This window comes from Homo sapiens, chromosome 6, assembly GCF_000001405.40.
Source record: "Homo sapiens chromosome 6, GRCh38.p14 Primary Assembly".
Classification (NCBI taxonomy): domain Eukaryota; kingdom Metazoa; phylum Chordata; class Mammalia; order Primates; family Hominidae; genus Homo; species Homo sapiens.
This window is the reverse complement of record NC_000006.12, coordinates 18,177,251-18,195,812: the sequence shown is the minus strand read 5'-3', so window position 1 is coordinate 18,195,812 and position 18,562 is coordinate 18,177,251. Positions and strand designations below refer to the sequence as shown.

The following is an 18,562-nucleotide window of genomic DNA, read 5'->3' as shown; positions in this document are numbered from 1 at the left end:
ATGTAAGGCATACGTTAATTAGGTCAATTTAGCTATTCCACAATGTATACATATTTTCTTTCTCTTTTTTTTTTTTTTTGATATGGAGTTTCACTCTGTCACCAGGCTGGAGTGCAGTGGCACAATCTCGGCTCACTGCAACCTCTGCCTCCCGGGTTCAAATGATTTTCCTGCCTCAGCCTCCCAAGTAGCTGGGACTACAGGCGCCTACCACCAAGCCCGGCTAATTTTTTGTATTTTTAGTAGAGACAGGGTTTCACCACATTGGCCAGGCTGGTCTCAAACTTCTGACCTCAGGTAATCCACCCGCCTCGACCTCCCAAAGTGCTGGGACTACAGGCGTGAGCCACCGTGCCCGGCCACAACATACATATATGTATTTCAAAACATCAGATTGTACACGATAAATAAATACAATGTTTAAATTTCTCAATTTAAAAGGCAAACCAATTAATGTTTGAAACTTTTTTTGGTTCCTCAAAAGGTTAAACCTAAAATACCATATGACCCAGTAATTCCAATCCTTAGTATATACCAAAAAGAACTGAAAACAGATGTTCAAACAAAATGTTCACAGCAGCAGTATTCAAATAGGGAAAAGGTGGAAACAATTCAAAGCCCATCAGTGGACGAATGGACAAACAAAATGTGATATGAACAATGAAATATTATTCAGCTATAAAAGTGAGTGAAGTTCTGACGTGCTACAACATGGATAAACCTTGAAAACATTATGCCAAGCAAAAGAAGCCAGTCATAAAAGGCCACATATTATATGCTTCCATTTACTGGAAATATCTATTACAGGCAAATCTATACAGATAGAGAGTAGATTCGTGGTTGCCAGGGGCTGAGAGCAGGAGAAAATGAGAAGAGACTGTTTAATTGGTATAGGGTTCCCTCTTGGGATAATGAAAAAGTTCTGGAACTAGATAGTGGTGATGGTTATACATTATATATGTATTTAATGCCACTGAGCTGTAAATTTCACAATGGTTAAGATGGAATAGGGCTAGGCACGGTGGCTCATGCCTGTAATCCCACCACTTTGGGAGGCTGAGGCAGGAGGAGCAATCACTTGAGCCCAAAACTTGGAGACCAGCCTGTGCAACATAGCAAGACCTTGTCTCCATTTAAAAAAAATAAGAAGGAAAAAAATATGGTAAATTTTATGTTATGTGTATTTAACCACAATAATTTAAAAAAAAATTCTCCAGGTTATTCAAATCCATCACTTATCACTAAGACAGTAAGAACAAAGGGAGGTTTGCCCAGTGGGGAAAAAGAAGGAGACAACAGGAAAATATAGCAATTTACACTTTATCGTGTCGGTTTTCCCTGAGCAAGAACGACTGCAGCAGGTGCATGGCGGCAGAGCACATCACACTCCTGAGTCAACAAAGGCCACTACAGAAATCCAGGCTGCTGATCCTACTGACCACAGAAAAAGCTGGATTCTTGTGACTGACAAGATGGTTGGGGGGATGGGGGAACCAGCACGGTGGCTCACGCCTTTACAGCACGTAATCCCAGCACTTTGGAGGCCAAGGCGGGTGGATCACCTGAGGTCAGGAGTTCGAGACCAGCCTGGCCAACATGGTTGAAACCCCATCTCTACTAAAAATACAAGAAATTTAGCCAGGCGTGGTAGTGCACGCCTGTAATCCCAGCACTTTGGGAGGCTGAGGCAGGTGGATCACTTGAGGTCAGGAGTTAAGAGACCAGCCTGGCCAACATGGTGAAACCCTGTCTCTACTAAAAACACAAAAAAATTAGCCGGGTTTGGTGGCGCACACCTGTAATCCCAGCTACTCAGGAGGCTGAGGCAGGAGAATCGCTTGAACCCAGGAGGCGGAGATTGCGGTGAGCTGAGATCGCATCATTGCACTCCAGCCTGGGCAACAAGAGTGAAACTCTGTCTTAAAAAAAAAAAAAAGACACTGTCTTTCTCTGCTCACCCAGCCTTGGCATGACCTTGATCTGTTTCAAAGACTCAAGAGTAATGATGCCACCACCTCCACCCAGTGTCAGGAAGCAAGAACAGGCACCAAGCAGCTCCCATCCCAGGCCTCTCCTCTGCTCCTTGTCACCAACCCCCCAGCTCCACCAGAACCAAATATTCAAGAAATAACACATACAACACTGGCTTGGATTGCTGCAGAAGATAATACATTTGTTTGTATTCATGAAGTTTAAAAAAAATCATTTCAAGGCCAGGTGTGGTGGCTCATGCCTGTAATTCCAGCACTTTGGGAGGCCAAGCCAGGAGGATTGTTTAAGCCCAGAAGTTTGAGAACAGCCTGGGCAACACAGCAAGACCTCATCTCTAAAAAAAAAAATTAGCTGGGCATGGTGGCACGTGCCTGTGGTCCCAACTACTCAGAAGACTAAGATGGGAGAATCACCTGAGACTGGGAAGGCGAGGCTGCTGTAGTGAGCTGTGATGGTGCCACTGTACTCCAGCCTGGGCAACAGAACAAGTCTGTGTCTCAAAAAAAAAAAAAAAAAAAAAAAGAAAGCACACATTTCAAAGTCTTTGATTCTTTTAAAGCCAATATATTTATGTTTTCCCACTATAGTATTAAGTATATAAATTCTTTTTTTTTTTTTTTTTTTTTAGACAGAGTTTCGTTCTTGTTGCCCAGGCTGGAGTGCAATGGTGTGATCTCAGCTCACTGCAGCCTCCTCCTCCTGGGTTCAAGCGATTCTCCTGCCTCAGCCTCCCAAGTGGCTGGGATTAAAGGCCACCCAGCACCACCTCCAGCTAATTATTTGTATTTTTAGTAGAGACGGGGTTTTGCCATGTTGGCCAGGCTGGTCTCAAACTCCTGACCTCATGTAATCCACCCAACTGGGCCTCCTAAAGTGCTGGGATTACAGGCGTGAGCCACCGCGCCCAGCCGGTATACACAATAAATTGTATCTTATGAAAAACTAAAATAGATCCAGGTAAGCTTAGGACTTCTATAATATTCTTCCCCTGTATAAGTCAAATTTCAAAGTCAAACAGAAAGAAATGTGACCAAAAAAAAAAATGAATCCAAGGTGTTTCTCTGTTGTATTTTTTTTTTTTTGAGACGGGATCTCACTATCTTGCCCAGGCTGGTCTTGAACTCCTAGGCACAAGCGATCCTCCTGCCTCAGTGTCCCAAGTAGCTGGGACTACAGGGCCACACCACCACTCTTTATAATTTACTTATAGGAAACTCTGACCACAATTTTGTTCAGTTTGGTTTACTGAGCACCTATCTCAAGGCTACTGGGCGGAAAATAAGTTGCACAGCCTACTCAGCTGGCTACCTCGCACAGCCTACTCACCTGGCTATAATTCATATAGTTGCATTAACAGCCATAACTTAATCAGGTTATGTCATTTCATTCTGGATTCTAATCCAGTGAAATGCCAAGGTGAAACTGGCATATCTTTCTTTAGTCAAGATCACTTTGGCAGTCTTGCACAATGTTCTGAATTCAGCAATGACGCAAACTGCTGATTAAATTAATAAATCAGAAAAATGCTAGGGTCAAGAGAATCTCTGTGGGTTTTTTTGGAAACAGGGTCTCATTCTGTCACCCAAGCTAGAGTGCAGTGGCACAATCACGGCTTACTGCAGCCTTGACCTCCCAAGCTCAGGCCATCCTCCTGTCTCAGCCTCCTAAGTAGCTAGGACTATGGGCATGTGCCACCACACATGGCTAATTTTTTAATTTTTTGTAGAGATGGGGGGGTCTCATTATGTTGCCCAGGCTGGTCTTGAACTCCTAGGCTCAAGCGATCCTCCTGCCTCAGCCTCCCAAAGTGCTGGAATTACAGACACAAGCCACTTCACCCAGCCCCTTTGTTTTTTGTTTTTAGCTAGTATTCCCATTCTGCCCCATAATTTATTTTCACCTTTTTCAAGGTGGGTACAGTGTGACAGCCCTAACATGTATTTAGACCCAACAGAAGAAATGTACTGGTCTTGGTTGATTTAGGATGCCGAGGTGAATAAAAATTCCTGTCCTCAAGGATTTGTATGTAATTCAATCTTTGATGTTTTTCCCTCCTGCCATTGCCATTGGAACTCTTTGGACCAAACCTTGCACCTTATACTCACCACTGGAGAGTCAGCATTCTGACTATGTGTGGTCTAAAGTGGTGGTTTTCAACAAGGGGTGATTCTGTCCCCATTTGGAAATGTCTATAGACGTATTTGGTTTTCACAGGTGGGAAGCATTACTGGAATCTAGTGGGTAGAAGCCAGGGATCTTGCTAAATATCCTACAGTGCAAAGACAGTCCCCACCACAAAGAATTATCTGCCCAAATTGTCAACAGAGGCACGGCTGAGAAACCCTGGCATAAAAGGTTCCATCCCCAGATGAAGTATCCCCTCCTTTTCAACATGGTCCTCCTCTGTCCAGTGCTATTGGCTAACATGCCCTTACTTACTTTGCAGTTAGTATACCACAGTGCGAGGATGAGGTTTCTCAAAGCCAGGTACATGGTGGGGTCTCGGGAATACTCTGGAAACTCATAGAGCTCATCCAGTTCCATCACATCCGGCCTCACACAGAGGGCTTTGCCACACTCATTGGGCTGGTAGAAAGGCTGGAAGTATCGGTTCATGCCTGGAACTGATAGGTAACACAAATGGGCAACTCCTACAAGCTGTAACTTCCAAATCCAGAAGAATTAAAGGGCAAAAGCAAACCAAAAAGTAAGCCTAGACAAGCTCCACTCTCTACCCTACATAAATACCTTTGCTTCCTCCACCCAGTTAGACAAAACGTACATAAATTAAGTATTTTTCTCATTCTTTCTTCATGCTATTCTCAACTTTAATTTCCATAGCATGGAAAAATTATTTTATTTTTAACTGTGGTAAAAAAATGCATACCATAAAATTTATCATCTTAATTTTTTTTTTTTTTGAGACAGAGTCTTGCTCTGTTGCCCAGGCTGGAGTGCAGTGGTCCAATCTCGGCTTACTGCGACCTCCATCTCCTGGGTCCAAGTGATTCTCATGCCTCAGCTTCTTGAGTAGCTGGGATTACAGGTGCTCGCCACCACATCTGGCTAATTTTTCTATTTTTAGTAGCTATGGGTTTCACTATGTTGGCCAAGCTGGTTTCAAGGTACTGGCCTCAAGTGATCTGCCAACCTCAGCCTCCCAAAGTGCTGGGATTACAGGCATGAGCTACCATGCCCAGCTATCTTTTTTTTCTTTTTAAGATGGAGTCTCACTCTGTCGCCCTGGCTGGAGTTCAGTGGCGCGATCTCGGCTCGCTGCAAGCTCCGCCTCCCGGGTTCACACCATTCTCCTGCCTCAGCCTCCCGAGTAGCTGGGACTACAGGCGCCCGCCACCATGCCCAGCTAATTTTTTTTTTTTTTTTGTATTTTTAGTAGAGACGGGGTTTTACTGTGTTAGCCAGGATGGTCTTGATCTCCTGACCTCGTGATCCACCTGCCTCAGCCTCCCAAAGTGCAGGGATTACAGGCGTGAGCCACTGCGCCCGGCCTTCTTATCTGTTTTTAAGTGTACAGTTCAGTAGTGTTAAGTACATTCATGCTGCTGTGCACAGATCTCTAGAACTTTCTCATCTTGTAAGACAAATTCTATATCCACTGAATGCCCACTCCTCATGGAGGTACGTTTTTAAAATAACTTTTTTTTTTTCTCGAGACAGAGTCTTGTTCTGTCACCCAGGCTGGAGTGTAATGGCACAATCTCAGCTCACTGCAACCTCCGCCTCCCAGGTTCAAGTGATTCTCCTTCCTCACCCTCCCCAGTAGCAGGGATTACAGGCACATACCACACACCTGGCTAATTTTTTGTGTATTTTTTTTTAGTAGAGACGGAGTTTCACCATTTTGGCCAGGCTGATCTCAAACTCTTGACCTCATGATCTGCCCGTCTCGGCCTCCCAAAGTGCTGGGATTACAGGTGTGAGCCACTGTGCCCGGCCTAAAATAACTCTTATGGCATTTTTCTGACTATAAAATGAATAGGTTCATAGAAGTAAATAACAATCACTAACCCCTGATTATGTCAGTAGTGGAGTTACATTTAGAGGTACACTTTATCCTTATTTCTGTGTCTATTAACAGAGAATATTCACATAATAGATATTTGCCTTCATGAAACTGAAAAAAATGTTATGAAAGTGCCGTTTTCTAACCTGCTTTTTAATGTGTACAATACCATGAATACTTTCCTGTGTCACTAAATATGCATTCAATGGCTGTATATTTTCTTATTACTTAACCATTTCCCTATTGCTAGGCATTACATTTCATCCAATTACTTCACTATTACAAGCAATGTGAAAAGAAATTTCTTTGTACCTATCTTTGGATTTACATTTGATTAGCTGTTTAAGATAAATTCCTAGAAATAGCACTGCTGGGTCAAAGAGTGTCTGTTTAAAAGTTTTTGATGCACACTGCCAAATCTTCCTTCGTAAACATACACTCTCCCTAACAGCAGTCAAATGCCTCTTCATCGCATCTTCATTAACCCTGGGAATTACCACTTTAGCTTTGATTTCCACCACATCTATATTCCAGTGTTATTGGTAAACAACAACAACAACAAAACCTTAAGATAGGACCACAGTGCAAAAATCTATTTGCATAATCAAAAATGCCATTTGTTCCTGTCCAGGCGTAGGAAATCCAGAATTCTTGCTTCTTACACCAAGAATTCTAATGTAGATTTTTAAAGATGCCTTTAAAGTAAATAATCAGGCCGGGTGCACTGGCTCATGTCTGTAATCCCAGCACTTTGGGAGGCTGAAGGGGGCGGATCACTTGAGGTCAGAAGTTCGAGACCAGCCTGGGCAACATGATGAAACCCCATCTCTACTAAAAATATAAAAATTAGCCAGGTGTGGTAGCATGCGCTTGTAATCCCAGCTACTCGGGAGACTGAGGCAGGAGAATCGCTTGAACCTGGGAGGAGGAGGTTGCAGGGAGCCAAGATCACGCCACTGCACTCCAGCCTGGGTGACAGACTGAGATTCTGTCTCAAAAAGAAAAAAAAAAAAAAATTAACCAGCTGTAGTGGCACGTGCTTGGAGTCCCAGCTACTCAGGAGACTGAGGCAGGAGAATTGCTTGAACCCAGGAGCTGGAGGATGCAGTGAGCTGAGATAGTGTCACTGCACTACAGTCTGGGCAACAGAGTGAGACTCCATCTCAAAAAATAAAATAAAATAAAAAATAAAGTAAATAATCAAAAGTATGCCTGCTCTGCAGTTTTTTTGAGAGTAGGTGATTTCGCTGGGATCACCAGTGGCAATAATTAGAGGCAGAAAGACTCAGAAGAAAAAGGACTGCTCATATAGTTGAAAACCTTTTCCCAGTAAGTCAGAGTTCATGTTATCATTAAACAAGACAGCAATCCAACTTCCAAATAAATACTCATTAAGTCCTGTAGGTAATTCATGAGTGTTGCAGGTTTTCCAAACTACTGAGGAAAAATTAACCACACACTATACACAAATGATGTGACTGATCCACAGTACAACCATTTCCATGAAATAATGAGGGGCTTTATATCATAGGTCGCATACATTTTTAAAAATAATTTTTATCTATTTATTTATTTTTAGAGACGAGATCTCGCTATGTTGCCCAGACCGGTCTCAAACTCCTGGCCTCAAGGGACCCTCCTGCCTCGGCCACCCAAAGTGCTGGGATTACAGGCATGAGCCACTGTGCCCAGCCTGCACATTTAAAAAAAATCCTTTGCGTTTTGCTCACTCACACGTTCCTCAGGGAGGGGAGCGGGGAATAGAAAGCAGGGAGTCCCAGGAATGGCTCTCACCGTGCACGGAGAGGGCAGCCTTGGAGTGCTCCAGCTTCCCAGGGCTGGCATTGCCAGTGGCAGCGGCGCGGTTTGTGCTGGTGCAGGAGGGGCTCATGCCAACACAGTCAGGGTAGTAGGCAGACAGCAGGGGCGCTGCCACACTGTCTTTCAGCAAAGGAGGTAGGATGAGCATAGAGTACCACCAATGGTTGGAAACTTCCAATACTCTCTGCAATGGGCCAGACAGGAAGAAGAGAGACAAGGACAGACAAGAAATGTACATGCAGATTCTGCCAGGGACAGAGGGTTCTCTTCGTTTCACTTGTCCTTAACCCGCTATGCTTTTTCTTGCTCAGACTTAACAATTCTATTCCAGAGCTCTACACACACAGATGTAGAAACAAAAATGGGCTGATAACACCTGGCAAGAATGTCTCCCAGACAGAATTCTTTCTGACATATGGCAACAGCCTCCCTTATCCCTCCCCCAAAATAAGCTCCCCAATGCCAGGTGAGTCTGAAAGCTGTGCCCATTTACTAGATCGCAAGCCTAGGTTTAAGTCTGATGTGAAAAATGCATCTCTGCTCAGTAATCATCTATCATTCAAGCCCCCCGCCTTTAACTTAGGACCTCAAGATAGTTAAAATTGGGAAACTGGGCATAAAAAATAATGCTCCCAAGTAGTAAGTATTACCGCTTTTTGCCAAAGGCTACTAAAAAACTTTCAGAGGGAAAAGTACACTGCAAACATCAAAATAAGACGCCAAATGTAGAACTGAACAAAAGCAGTTATTTTCAGTCTTCAAATACGTGATACTGTTCCAGAGTTGACTTAACATGGAGTCATCAAATCAGAGCCTTCTCATGATGACTACTGAAATAAAAAGAAAGTCTATGTGGCTTCCAAAGCAACACTGCCACAATCCATGGTAGACAGGCTTTTCTAAATGCAATCTGACACTTATGCTCCAGGAATTCGGGGAAAAAAAAAATGTCTATTCTGGAGCCTGGAAAAAAAATGTGTGTGTGTGTGTGTGTGTGTGTGTACACACACACACATATATACATACTGATATGGTTTGGCTGGGTCCCCACTCAAATCTCATCTTGAATTGTAGTTCCTATAATCCCCATGTGTCATGGCAGGGAGCTGGTAGGAGGTAATTAAACCACAGGGGCAGTTACCCTCATGCTGTTCTTGTGATAATGAGTTCTCATGAGATCTGATGGTTTTACAAGGGGCTTTTCCCCCTTTGCTTGACACTTCTCCTTCCAGCCATCATGAAGGACACATTTGCTTCCTCTTCTGCCATGATTCTAAGTTTCCTGAGGCCTCCCCAGCCATGCAGAACTGTGAGTCAGTTAACCCTCTTTCCTTCATAAATTACCTAGTCTCAGGCAGTTCTTTATAGCAAGCAGCGTGAGAACGGACTAATACACATGCAAACACCCTTTTATATAACAGAATGGATTTAAAGTAGATTTGCTAAAAGTCAATGCTGTCTTTGCCTGAAAAGCTATCGTAGTTCCTGAGTTTCAGACATCTAGAACAATCCAATCCTGAATCACTGAAAATCAGAATGACTCAGGATTCTAGAAACTCAAGAAACCCAAAATTTAAAAACCTCTTTTCTGAAACAGTCACCGAATCTGGTTACATGGTACACTGAAGTTTGTCAACTCAGGTAGCAAAGTCTTATGAAAACAGAGGAAATGTGACCAGCTTTGCCAGCTGGAAGTACTGCTCCCCCTGCCATATCTGCATGAGGACAGGACAAAGCCAACATGCTGAGGTCAGAATGCATAAGAACACTCCTGCAGCTGAATCCAGGCCAAGACGATCAAATTGTGGCCCTCTTGTGCTTTTCTTAGGAGGACTCAAGTGGAGAAAAGGTCACAAAGTCATCCTTGAAAAACAAGTACAGCAAGCCTGAGCCCTAGAGCAAGGCAGGAGAGCTGTGTCTTCCTCTTTGTTTCCTTTTAATGAAAAGCAACATAACTTTATTTTTATTTTTTAAGTTGGGGACAGGACTACCCATAATATCACTATTGCTAACATTTTCATAATATAGTTACCATGTTAGATTAAAAAGTCACTGATCAGCAACCAAAGAGAAAGAAATTCATGAAGCTGTTACTATCATTTCCTTGTAACACTTATCATCAAAGGCACAATTAACCCCAATCCACACCATCCGGAAATACTCACTAGATCCTCTGGGAGGGAACAATGATCTGAGGTCTCAGGCTACAAAAGAAAACCAAGTGTTAAATTAGGGTTGCTTATAAAATATAGTCTCAGGTATCCATTTATCTTCAATAAGATATCTCTTTTCACCTATCAGGCTGGCAAAGAAAAGCATTTTTATGAAACAATGTATAAATCAGAGTGTCTGGAGGCCTGGCTCTGTGGCTCACGCCTATAATCCCAGCACTTCGGGAGGTTGAGCAGCAGTTTGGGAGGTCAAGGTGGGTGGATCACCTAAGGTCAGGAGTTTGAGACCAGCCTGGCCAAAATAGTGAAAAACTGTCTCTACTAAAAATATAAAAATTAGCCAGGCATAGTGGCAGGTGCCTGTAATCTCAGCTACTGGAGAGGCTGAGGCAGGAGAATCACTGGGACCCGGAAAGTGGAGGTTGCAGTGAGCCGAGACTGCGCTACTGCGCTCCAGCCTGGGTAACAGAGCGAGACTCCATCTCAAAAAAAAAAAAAAAGTGAGAGTGTGGGGAGACAGGCACATGAGATCATAAGGATGTTCCTGGTGGAAAATAAAGGCATATAACAACCACGAAGGGCGGTGACAAAATACGAACATTTAAAATGCACAATCATTTGACATTATCTTTTAGAACTGAAAATACGTATGACACATCCAGCAATTCTAACTGGGTTATATTTTCCAGAGAGAGACTCTTGTATATCTGCACCAACAAAAGTATTACAAAATGTTCAAAGGAGCATTATTTGTATTCAAAAAAAGCTAGAAACTGGCCAGGCTCAGTGGCTCATGCCTATAATCCCAGCATTTTGGGAGGTCAAGGCAGGTGGATCGCTTGAGCCTAGGAGTTCAACACCAACCTGGGTAACACCCCCCATCTCTACAAAAATTGCAAAAATCAGCCAGGCTTGGTGGTGCATGCCTGTACTTCCAACTACTCGGGAGGCTGAAGTGGGAGGACTGATTGAGCCCAGGAGGTTGAGGCTGCAGTGAGCTGTGACAGCACCACTGCACTCCACCTGGACAAGAGACCTTGTCTTAAAAAAAAAAAAAAAAAAAAAAAAGGAAAAAAGCTAGAAACAACCCAAAGGTCATCAACAGTACAATGGACACTTAAATTGTATTATAGTCAAACAATGGCATGCTGCACAGCAATGAGAACAAACTATGACTACACATTACAACATGGACACATCTCACAATGTTGGGCAAAAGAAGTTAGAACAGGCCCCGTGCAGTGGCTCACACCTGTAATCCCAGCACTTTGGGAGGCTGAGGTGGGTGGATCACCTAAGGTCAGGAGTTCGAGACCAGCCTGGCCAACATGGTGAAACCTCGTCTCTACTAAAAATACAAAAATTAGCCGGGCATGGTGGTGCGCACCTGTAATCCCAGGTACTTGGGAGGCTCAGGCAGGAGAATCACTTGAACCTGGAAGGCGGAAGTTGGAGTGAGCCAAGATCGCAACACTGAACTCCAGCCTGGGCGACAAAGCGACACTCCGTCTCAAAAAAAAAAAAAAAAAAAGAAGCTAGAACAATCATAGTGTAGGATACCATTCATGTAAAACTTAAAAGCAAGCAAAAAAACAAAACAAAACAAAACTATATGATTGTAAGTCAGAAAAGTAGGTAGTTACTCTAGGGGAGCAAGGGTTAAAGACTGTGATTAAAAGTGACACGGGGCTTCTAAGGGGCTGGTGTGTGTTCTGTTACTTTCCTGGGAGCCAGCTAAATGAGTACTTGGCGAAAATTCATTGAGTTATGCATTTTGATTTGTGCGTCTTCTGTTTGTATATTTCACTAAGAAAAGTTGCCTAAATAAACAAGATTGTTAGACCATATGGCCTAGCAGTTCTAGTCCTTGGACTGTATTTCAAAGACATTCTTGTCCTTGTGCCAGGCAAGAATGCTCACAGTAGCATTTGTATGTAACAGCCAAAAACTAGAAACAGCCCTTATATTCATGAACACGAGAATACACACACCAAGGTAGGTTCACACAATGTAATTCTAATACTACTCTTTGGTATTAACACACCAAAGTCTTAGATGCATCAACATGGATGCATCTCCAAAACCTTAATGTTGAGCGAAAAGAGCAAGTTAAAGAGGAATATAAACAATTGTGATATAATTTGTAACCAGTATAAAAATATGCAAAACTTATGTTACTTAGGGTTTCAGAAATACGTATTAACCCTGTAACAAAAAGCAAAGGAGTAAGAAAGACAAAATTCAGGGCCCGGCGTGGTGGCTCACATCTGTAATCCCTGCATTTTGGGAGGCCGAGGTGGGTGGATCACCTGAGTTCAGGAGTTCGAGACAAGCCTGGCCAACGTGATGAAACCCCGTCTCTACTAAAAATACAAAAAATTAGTCAGGTGTGGTGGCGGGCACCAGCTACTCAGGAGGCTGAGGCAGGAGAATCGTTTGAACCTGGGAGGTGGAGGTTGCAATGAGCCGAGACTGCGCCATTGCACTCCAGCCTGGGTAATAAGAGCAAAACTCTGTCTCAAAAAAAAAAAAAAAAAAAAAAAAAACCCACAAAATTCAGGACATTGTTTACCCCTGCAAGGGAAGGAGAGGAAGCATAATAACTACTGAGGAGCACACTGGAGGGAGGGACAAAGCCACTGGGAGTGCTCTGTTTCTTCAACTGAGTAGTAGGGAGGCACACCAGTGTTTGCTTTCATTCTTTCCTCCTTACATATAAATTATAACTCTTTGTGTCTATAACTTATTTCACATTAAAACAATAGCATCTACCCTTTGATACAGAAATTTCATTTGTAGGAACTGATCTTACAAATATACTCAAAAATAGCACAGATAGAAAGCTTTTCACTAAAGCACAGTCAGGAACAGTAAATGTTTAAAAGTAACCTAAATGCCCTTCAATAGCACTAAATTAAACGCAGGACGTCTGTTCAGTGGACTACTTATTAGACAGCCATTGAAGAGAATGAAGGGCTAAGCACAGTGGCTCACACCTGTGATCCCAGCACTTTGGGAGACCAAGGTGGGAGGATCACTTGAGGCCAGGAGTTTGAGACCAGCCTGGGCAACATAGCAAGACCCTGTCACTACAAAAAAATTAAAAAAAAGTAGCTGTGCATGGTCGCGTGCCTGTGGTGAGAGGCTGAGTCAGGTGAGAATCACTTGAACTCAGGAGTTTGAGGCTGCACTGGGCTAAGAGGATGCCACTGTACTCCAGCCTGGGTGACAGAGCAAGACTCCGTCTCAAAAAAAAAAGAATGAAATAAAAATGAAGAGAAAGAAGAGCTCTTTATATACTTACATGGACACATCTTTTAAGACATATTAAATGAGAAACAGCAAAATCAAAAACAGTGTACAGAGTTGTCAATTGTTCTTTTTCATGTTATTCTACAAATAAACCTTCACTGACTTTCTCCTTAACAGCATACCACGCTGAAAACCAAAATTACTCAGGGTCAATATATATAATTTAAATTAATATTTCAAAAGTTCAGGTTGTGGAGAGTAATCGATTCATACTGGAACAATAAGATGAAGGGGTCTCAAAGGAGGGTGACTGGGGTTGGGGGAAGAGATTTGATATTATCCATAGAAATTGGAATTTAAAAAGACTATAAAGGCTTTAACTAAGGTGAGGTGAGAAGAAAAGTAGTTAAGTTTTCAAAAATGTAAGGAATCTGACACCTCTGAGGCCCTCCTGGAAAAAAATGCTTGATGTTAAAATACAGCCAGCCAGGTTTCAAATCAAAATAAAAAAATGGAACTATGGTAAAAGAAATTACAGAGAGCAGTAAATCTACATAAACATATAAGTCAGAGTAAACAATGGAGGGAATACAGTTATAGAAAATAATTAACAAAATCGCCAAGAAAACTAAACAAAAAACAAAACCATAACAAAAACTGGGAGAGAAGAAAAGGAAGTGTTATATAATTTATTTTTTCTGATTTCATAGCAGGGTGTTGACCAATATCAACTAAAATTGAAACATGAAGTTTGTTTTTTTTATTTTTTCAAGTTAGAGTGATTTCAACTTTTTTACTTTTCTTCTTGAAACAGGGTCTCACTGTGTCACTTAGGCTGGAGTGCAGTGGTGCCATCTTGGCTCACTGCAGCCTTGACCTCATGGGCTCAAGAGATCCTCCCACTTCAGTCTCCCAAGTAGCCGGGACTACAGGAGCGCGTCACCAGGCCCAGGTAATTTTTGTATTCTTTGTAGAGACAGGGTCTCGTCATGTTGCCCAGGCTGGTCTCAAACTCCTGCTTCAGCCTCCCAAAGGGCTGAAATTACAGGCATGAGCCACTGCGCCCAACTGATTCCCACTTCTTATTCTCATATTTTCTTAACCTTTTAGAGAGTTTTTAGAAACTTATTTCTTGGGATAAAGAAATATTTTATGTTCAACAATTTCTTATTTCACTTTGGCTTCCTTTTCTTATTTTAAATTGATGTTATATTAAACACAACCAACTTAGAAAAAAAAAGTGTGTGTAGTACTATTCCTTAACAGGAAGCTATCTGTCAATCAGGCCTTCTCCCTGTATACACACAGAGGTACACTATATAGATACTCTTGAATGAATCTCACTCAATGATGGTTAATTCACAATGAAGACTGCATGAATTTTTTTCTGCTATCTTTGTTCTTTTCTATATTGCTGGAATTTTTCAATAATGAACATGTATCATTTGTCTAAAAGTGTTCTACAGAAAACCTTCGAGTTTTCAAAAACTACTTAGAGAAATTAAAAGTGACAACCACCACCCAAGAAAAAATTTAAAAAACAAAAAGCAAGGCATAATTTAAACAATTAGTAAAGTCAAAGTTGTCCACTCAATTGTCAGCAAGTAAAAGAGAGGTGAGATTACGGATCACTCCAATTACAGTTTAGTCAAAGCACAGAACAAAATGTAAAAATCACAGCTAGAGTGGCCGGGAGCAGTGGCTCACGCCTGTAATCCCAGCACTTTGAGAGGCCAAGACAGGTGGATCACCTGAGATCAGGAGTTCGAGACCAGCCTGGCCAACATGGTGAAACTCCGTCTCTACTAAAAATACACAAATTAGCTGGGCGTGGTGGTGAGCACCTGCAGTTCCAGCTACTCGGGAGGCTGACGTGGGAGAATCGCTTGAACCTGGGAGGCAGAGGCTGGAGTAGGCCTAGATGGTGTCACCGCACTCCAGCCTGGGCAATAGAACAAGACTCCTTCTCAAACAAAACAAAACCACAACAACAAAATCACAGCTAGTATTGATTAATGTAGTATTACACAAATCATCCAAAATCTTAAAAAATTGTCTGAAAAAACTTTTAGAATCATCGCATACCCAGGCTGAGTGAAAATGGCTCAAAAAGTAGAATCTATTAAAATAGTCTGCTATTTTTTATTGTTGCTTGGCTGAACTCTCCTTTAAATATTATAATGAAATGCCACTGAGTCAACTTTTCATTGTCAAGTAATCTGGGACACAGGTAGTTAAGTTTAGTGCAACCAAGATATTGTTCCTGCAAGCTGGACACGCTCCCCTCTGCCTGTTCATGGTATTTTCATTGCTCAGTTCCCAGCTCCCATCAGTGCAGCCACGCAGCCTGGAAATGAACTGCCCACGCCCTCATGTCAGCTCCTTCCCATTTTCTCTTTTCTCTTCCTCTTCTCAGAGAGGCCTTCAACTCTTAAAGTTGAGTTCCAGAATCAATCAAGGGCCTCACCCTGGGCAAGACAGCAAAACCCCGTCTCTATTAAAAAAAAAAAAAAATACAAAAATTAGTGAAGCACAGTGGCACACACCTGTAGTCCCAGCTACTCAGGAGACTACGGTGGCAGAATCACCTGAGCCCAGGAAGTAAAGGCTGCAGTAAACCAGGATTATGCCACTGTACTCTGGCCTGGGAGACAGAGTGAGACCCTGCCTTATGAAAAAAAAAAAAAAAAAAAAAAAAAAAAGGAAAAAAAACCAATGCTAAATTGAAAGATTTTGGAATAGCTCTTACCAATTTCAGGAATCTAATCCCAGGCTCAGGTCAATGCTTCCCCTCCCTCACTCTCAAATCACCAACATCAAGAATAAAAGAAAGGATACCGAGACAAAGCCCACCAACGTTAAAAGGAGAACAAGGGAACAGTACAAACAACTTTAAGTTAAAAATGTGACAACATAGATGAAAAAGACAAACTGCTTGAAAAACACAACCTTCCAAAATGGAAAGAAGTCATAAACCACCTAGATGGCCATATATCTGTTAAAGAAACTGAATTTGTAATTCCTAACTTTTTACAAAGAAAACTACTGGCCCAAATTGTTTCATTAGTGAATTCAACCAAACACAAAAAAAGAAGTAATATCAAACCTATACAACAAAATAGAAAAGAGGATATACTGCTCGTTTCACAGAGCCAGCATAACTCTGAAAGCAGAACCCGACAAGGTTATTACAAGAAAGGAAAGTAACAAAGTATCCAAGACAAACACAGATGCAAAAATCTTTAACAAAATTTAATCAAATCTGGGAATATATAAAAAGAACAATATATTAAAAACAAATGGATTTTTTTCCCCCAGGAATGCAACATTGATTCAACATTCCCAAATTGGTATAATTCATTACATTTGCTGATTAAAGAAGAAAATGCAATGGTCATCATAAAAGATGCAGGAAAACTATTAGCCAATATCTATTCATCATAAAAAGTTATCAGCAAATTAGGAAAAGAAAAGGAGACTGCTCCATCTCATAAAGAATGTCTACAAAGAGCTATAGCCAACACTGTATATGACGATACTGAACACATTCCTCCTGAAGTCAGGAACAAGGCAAGGTTGTCTGCTCTCATCACTTCTATAGAACACTATCACTGGTGGTCCTGACCAATGTAGTAAGGCAAGAAAAAGGGCAAAAAGACTGAGAAGAGGTTTGTAGACAATCATGATTATTTGTATGACTGATTTGCAGACAACCCAAAGGAATCTATGAAAAAGATCTATGAAACTTAGTAAGTGAAGTTAACAAAGTCTCTGGGTACAAGGCCAATATACAAGTCAATTGTGTTTCTATATAGTTGCAACAGTGCACAACTTGAAAATGGAGTTAAAAATAAATTTTATTGGCTGGGTGCAGTGGCTCACACCTATAATCCCAGCACTTTGGGAGGCCAAGGCAGGTAGATCACGAGGTCAGGAGTTCGAGACCAGCCTGGCCAACATGGGGAAGCCCTGTCTCTACTAAAATACAAAAAATTAGCCAGGCATGGTGATGTGTGCCTGTAGTCCCTGCTACTCGGGAGGCTGAGGCAGAAGAATTGCTTGAACCTGGGAGGCGGAGGTTGCAGTGAGCCGAGATCGTGCCATTGCACTTCAGCCTGGCGACAAAGCAAGACTCTGTTTCAAAAAATAAATAAATAATAAAAAATAGGCCGGGTGCGGTGGCTCATGCCTGTAATCCCAGCACTTTGGAAGGCCAAGGCAGGCAGATCACCTGAGTTCAGGAGTTCGAGACCAGCCTGGCCAATGTGGTGAAACCCCATCTCTACTAAAAATGTAAAAAAAATTAGCTGGGCGTGGTGGTGGGTGCCTGTAATCCCAGCTACTCAGGAGGCTGAGGCAGGAGAATTGCTTGAACCCAGGAGATGGTGGTTGCAGTGAGCCAATATGGTGCCACTGCACTCCAGCCTGGATGACAGAGTGAGACTCCGTCCAAAACAAAAAAATCAATCAATCAATCAATTTTATCTACAATTACAGGAAAAAAAATTAAGTATCTAGAAATAAATTGAACAAAGGCACAAAAGATATCCTCAGTGAATATTAGAAAACACTGTTGGGAGACATTAACCTCAAAAAGATGGAGACAGATACCATGCCCATGGGTCAGAAAAGGGGTCAGGAAACATTTTCTGTAAGGAACCACATAGTAAATATTCTGGGCTCTGTCGCAAATACTGTCATTGTAGCATAAAAGCAGCCAATACATAACAATGAGCATGGCTATGTCCCAATTAAAACTTTATTTACAAAACAGGTGTGGTACCAGGAGCAGGAATGAGCATGGCTATGTCCCAATTAAAACCATATTTACAAAACAGGTGTGGTGCCAGGTGCGGTGGCTAACGCCTGTAATCCCAGCACTTTGGGAGGCTGGGAAGGGAGGATCACTTGAGGCCAAGAGTTCAAGACCAGCCTGGGCAATAGAGCAAGACCCTGTCACTACAGAAAATTTTTAAAATTAAAAATAAATAAATAAATAAATAAATAGGTGTGGCCTCAAGGAACTAGAGAAACAGGAACAAACCAAACCCAAGCCCAGCAGAAGAAAGGAAATAACCGAGATCAGACAAGAACTAAATGAAATTGAAACAAAAAAAAATACAAAAGTTAAATGAAACAAAAAGCTGGTTCTTTGAAAAGATAAATAAAGTTGATAGACAATTAGCAAGATTAACCAAGAAAAGGAGAAAATCCAAATAACTTCATTAAGAAAAAAAAAGATATTACAACTGACACCACTGAAATACAAAAGATCATTCGAGGCTACTACTAACACTTTTAC

The 18,562-nt window shown here is 41.9% G+C and overlaps 1 protein-coding gene across 29 annotated transcripts in view; it reads right to left on the bottom strand.

Annotated features, from left to right (window-relative positions):
• KDM1B (lysine demethylase 1B) overlaps window positions 1–18,562 on the bottom strand; it is a 68,433-nt gene that overhangs the window by 28,042 nt on the left and 21,829 nt on the right. For 8 of the 29 annotated variants that reach the window (NM_001439119.1, NM_001364614.2, NM_001439120.1 and 5 more), the window contains 3 exons: window positions 10,003–10,041; window positions 7,811–8,021; window positions 4,432–4,616 (listed from right to left, as the gene is read on the bottom strand). The exons of 6 other annotated variants lie outside the window; for them this stretch is intronic. In NM_001439119.1, the coding sequence (NP_001426048.1) occupies window positions 4,432–4,616; window positions 7,811–8,021; window positions 10,003–10,041 (435 nt within the window). Of the gene's footprint in view, window positions 1–4,431; window positions 4,617–7,810; window positions 8,022–10,002; window positions 10,042–15,727; window positions 15,755–18,562 lie in introns of all 29 variants that reach the window. 15 more of the 29 variants (NM_001439122.1, NM_001439123.1, NM_153042.4 and 12 more) reach the window with 3 other exon arrangements.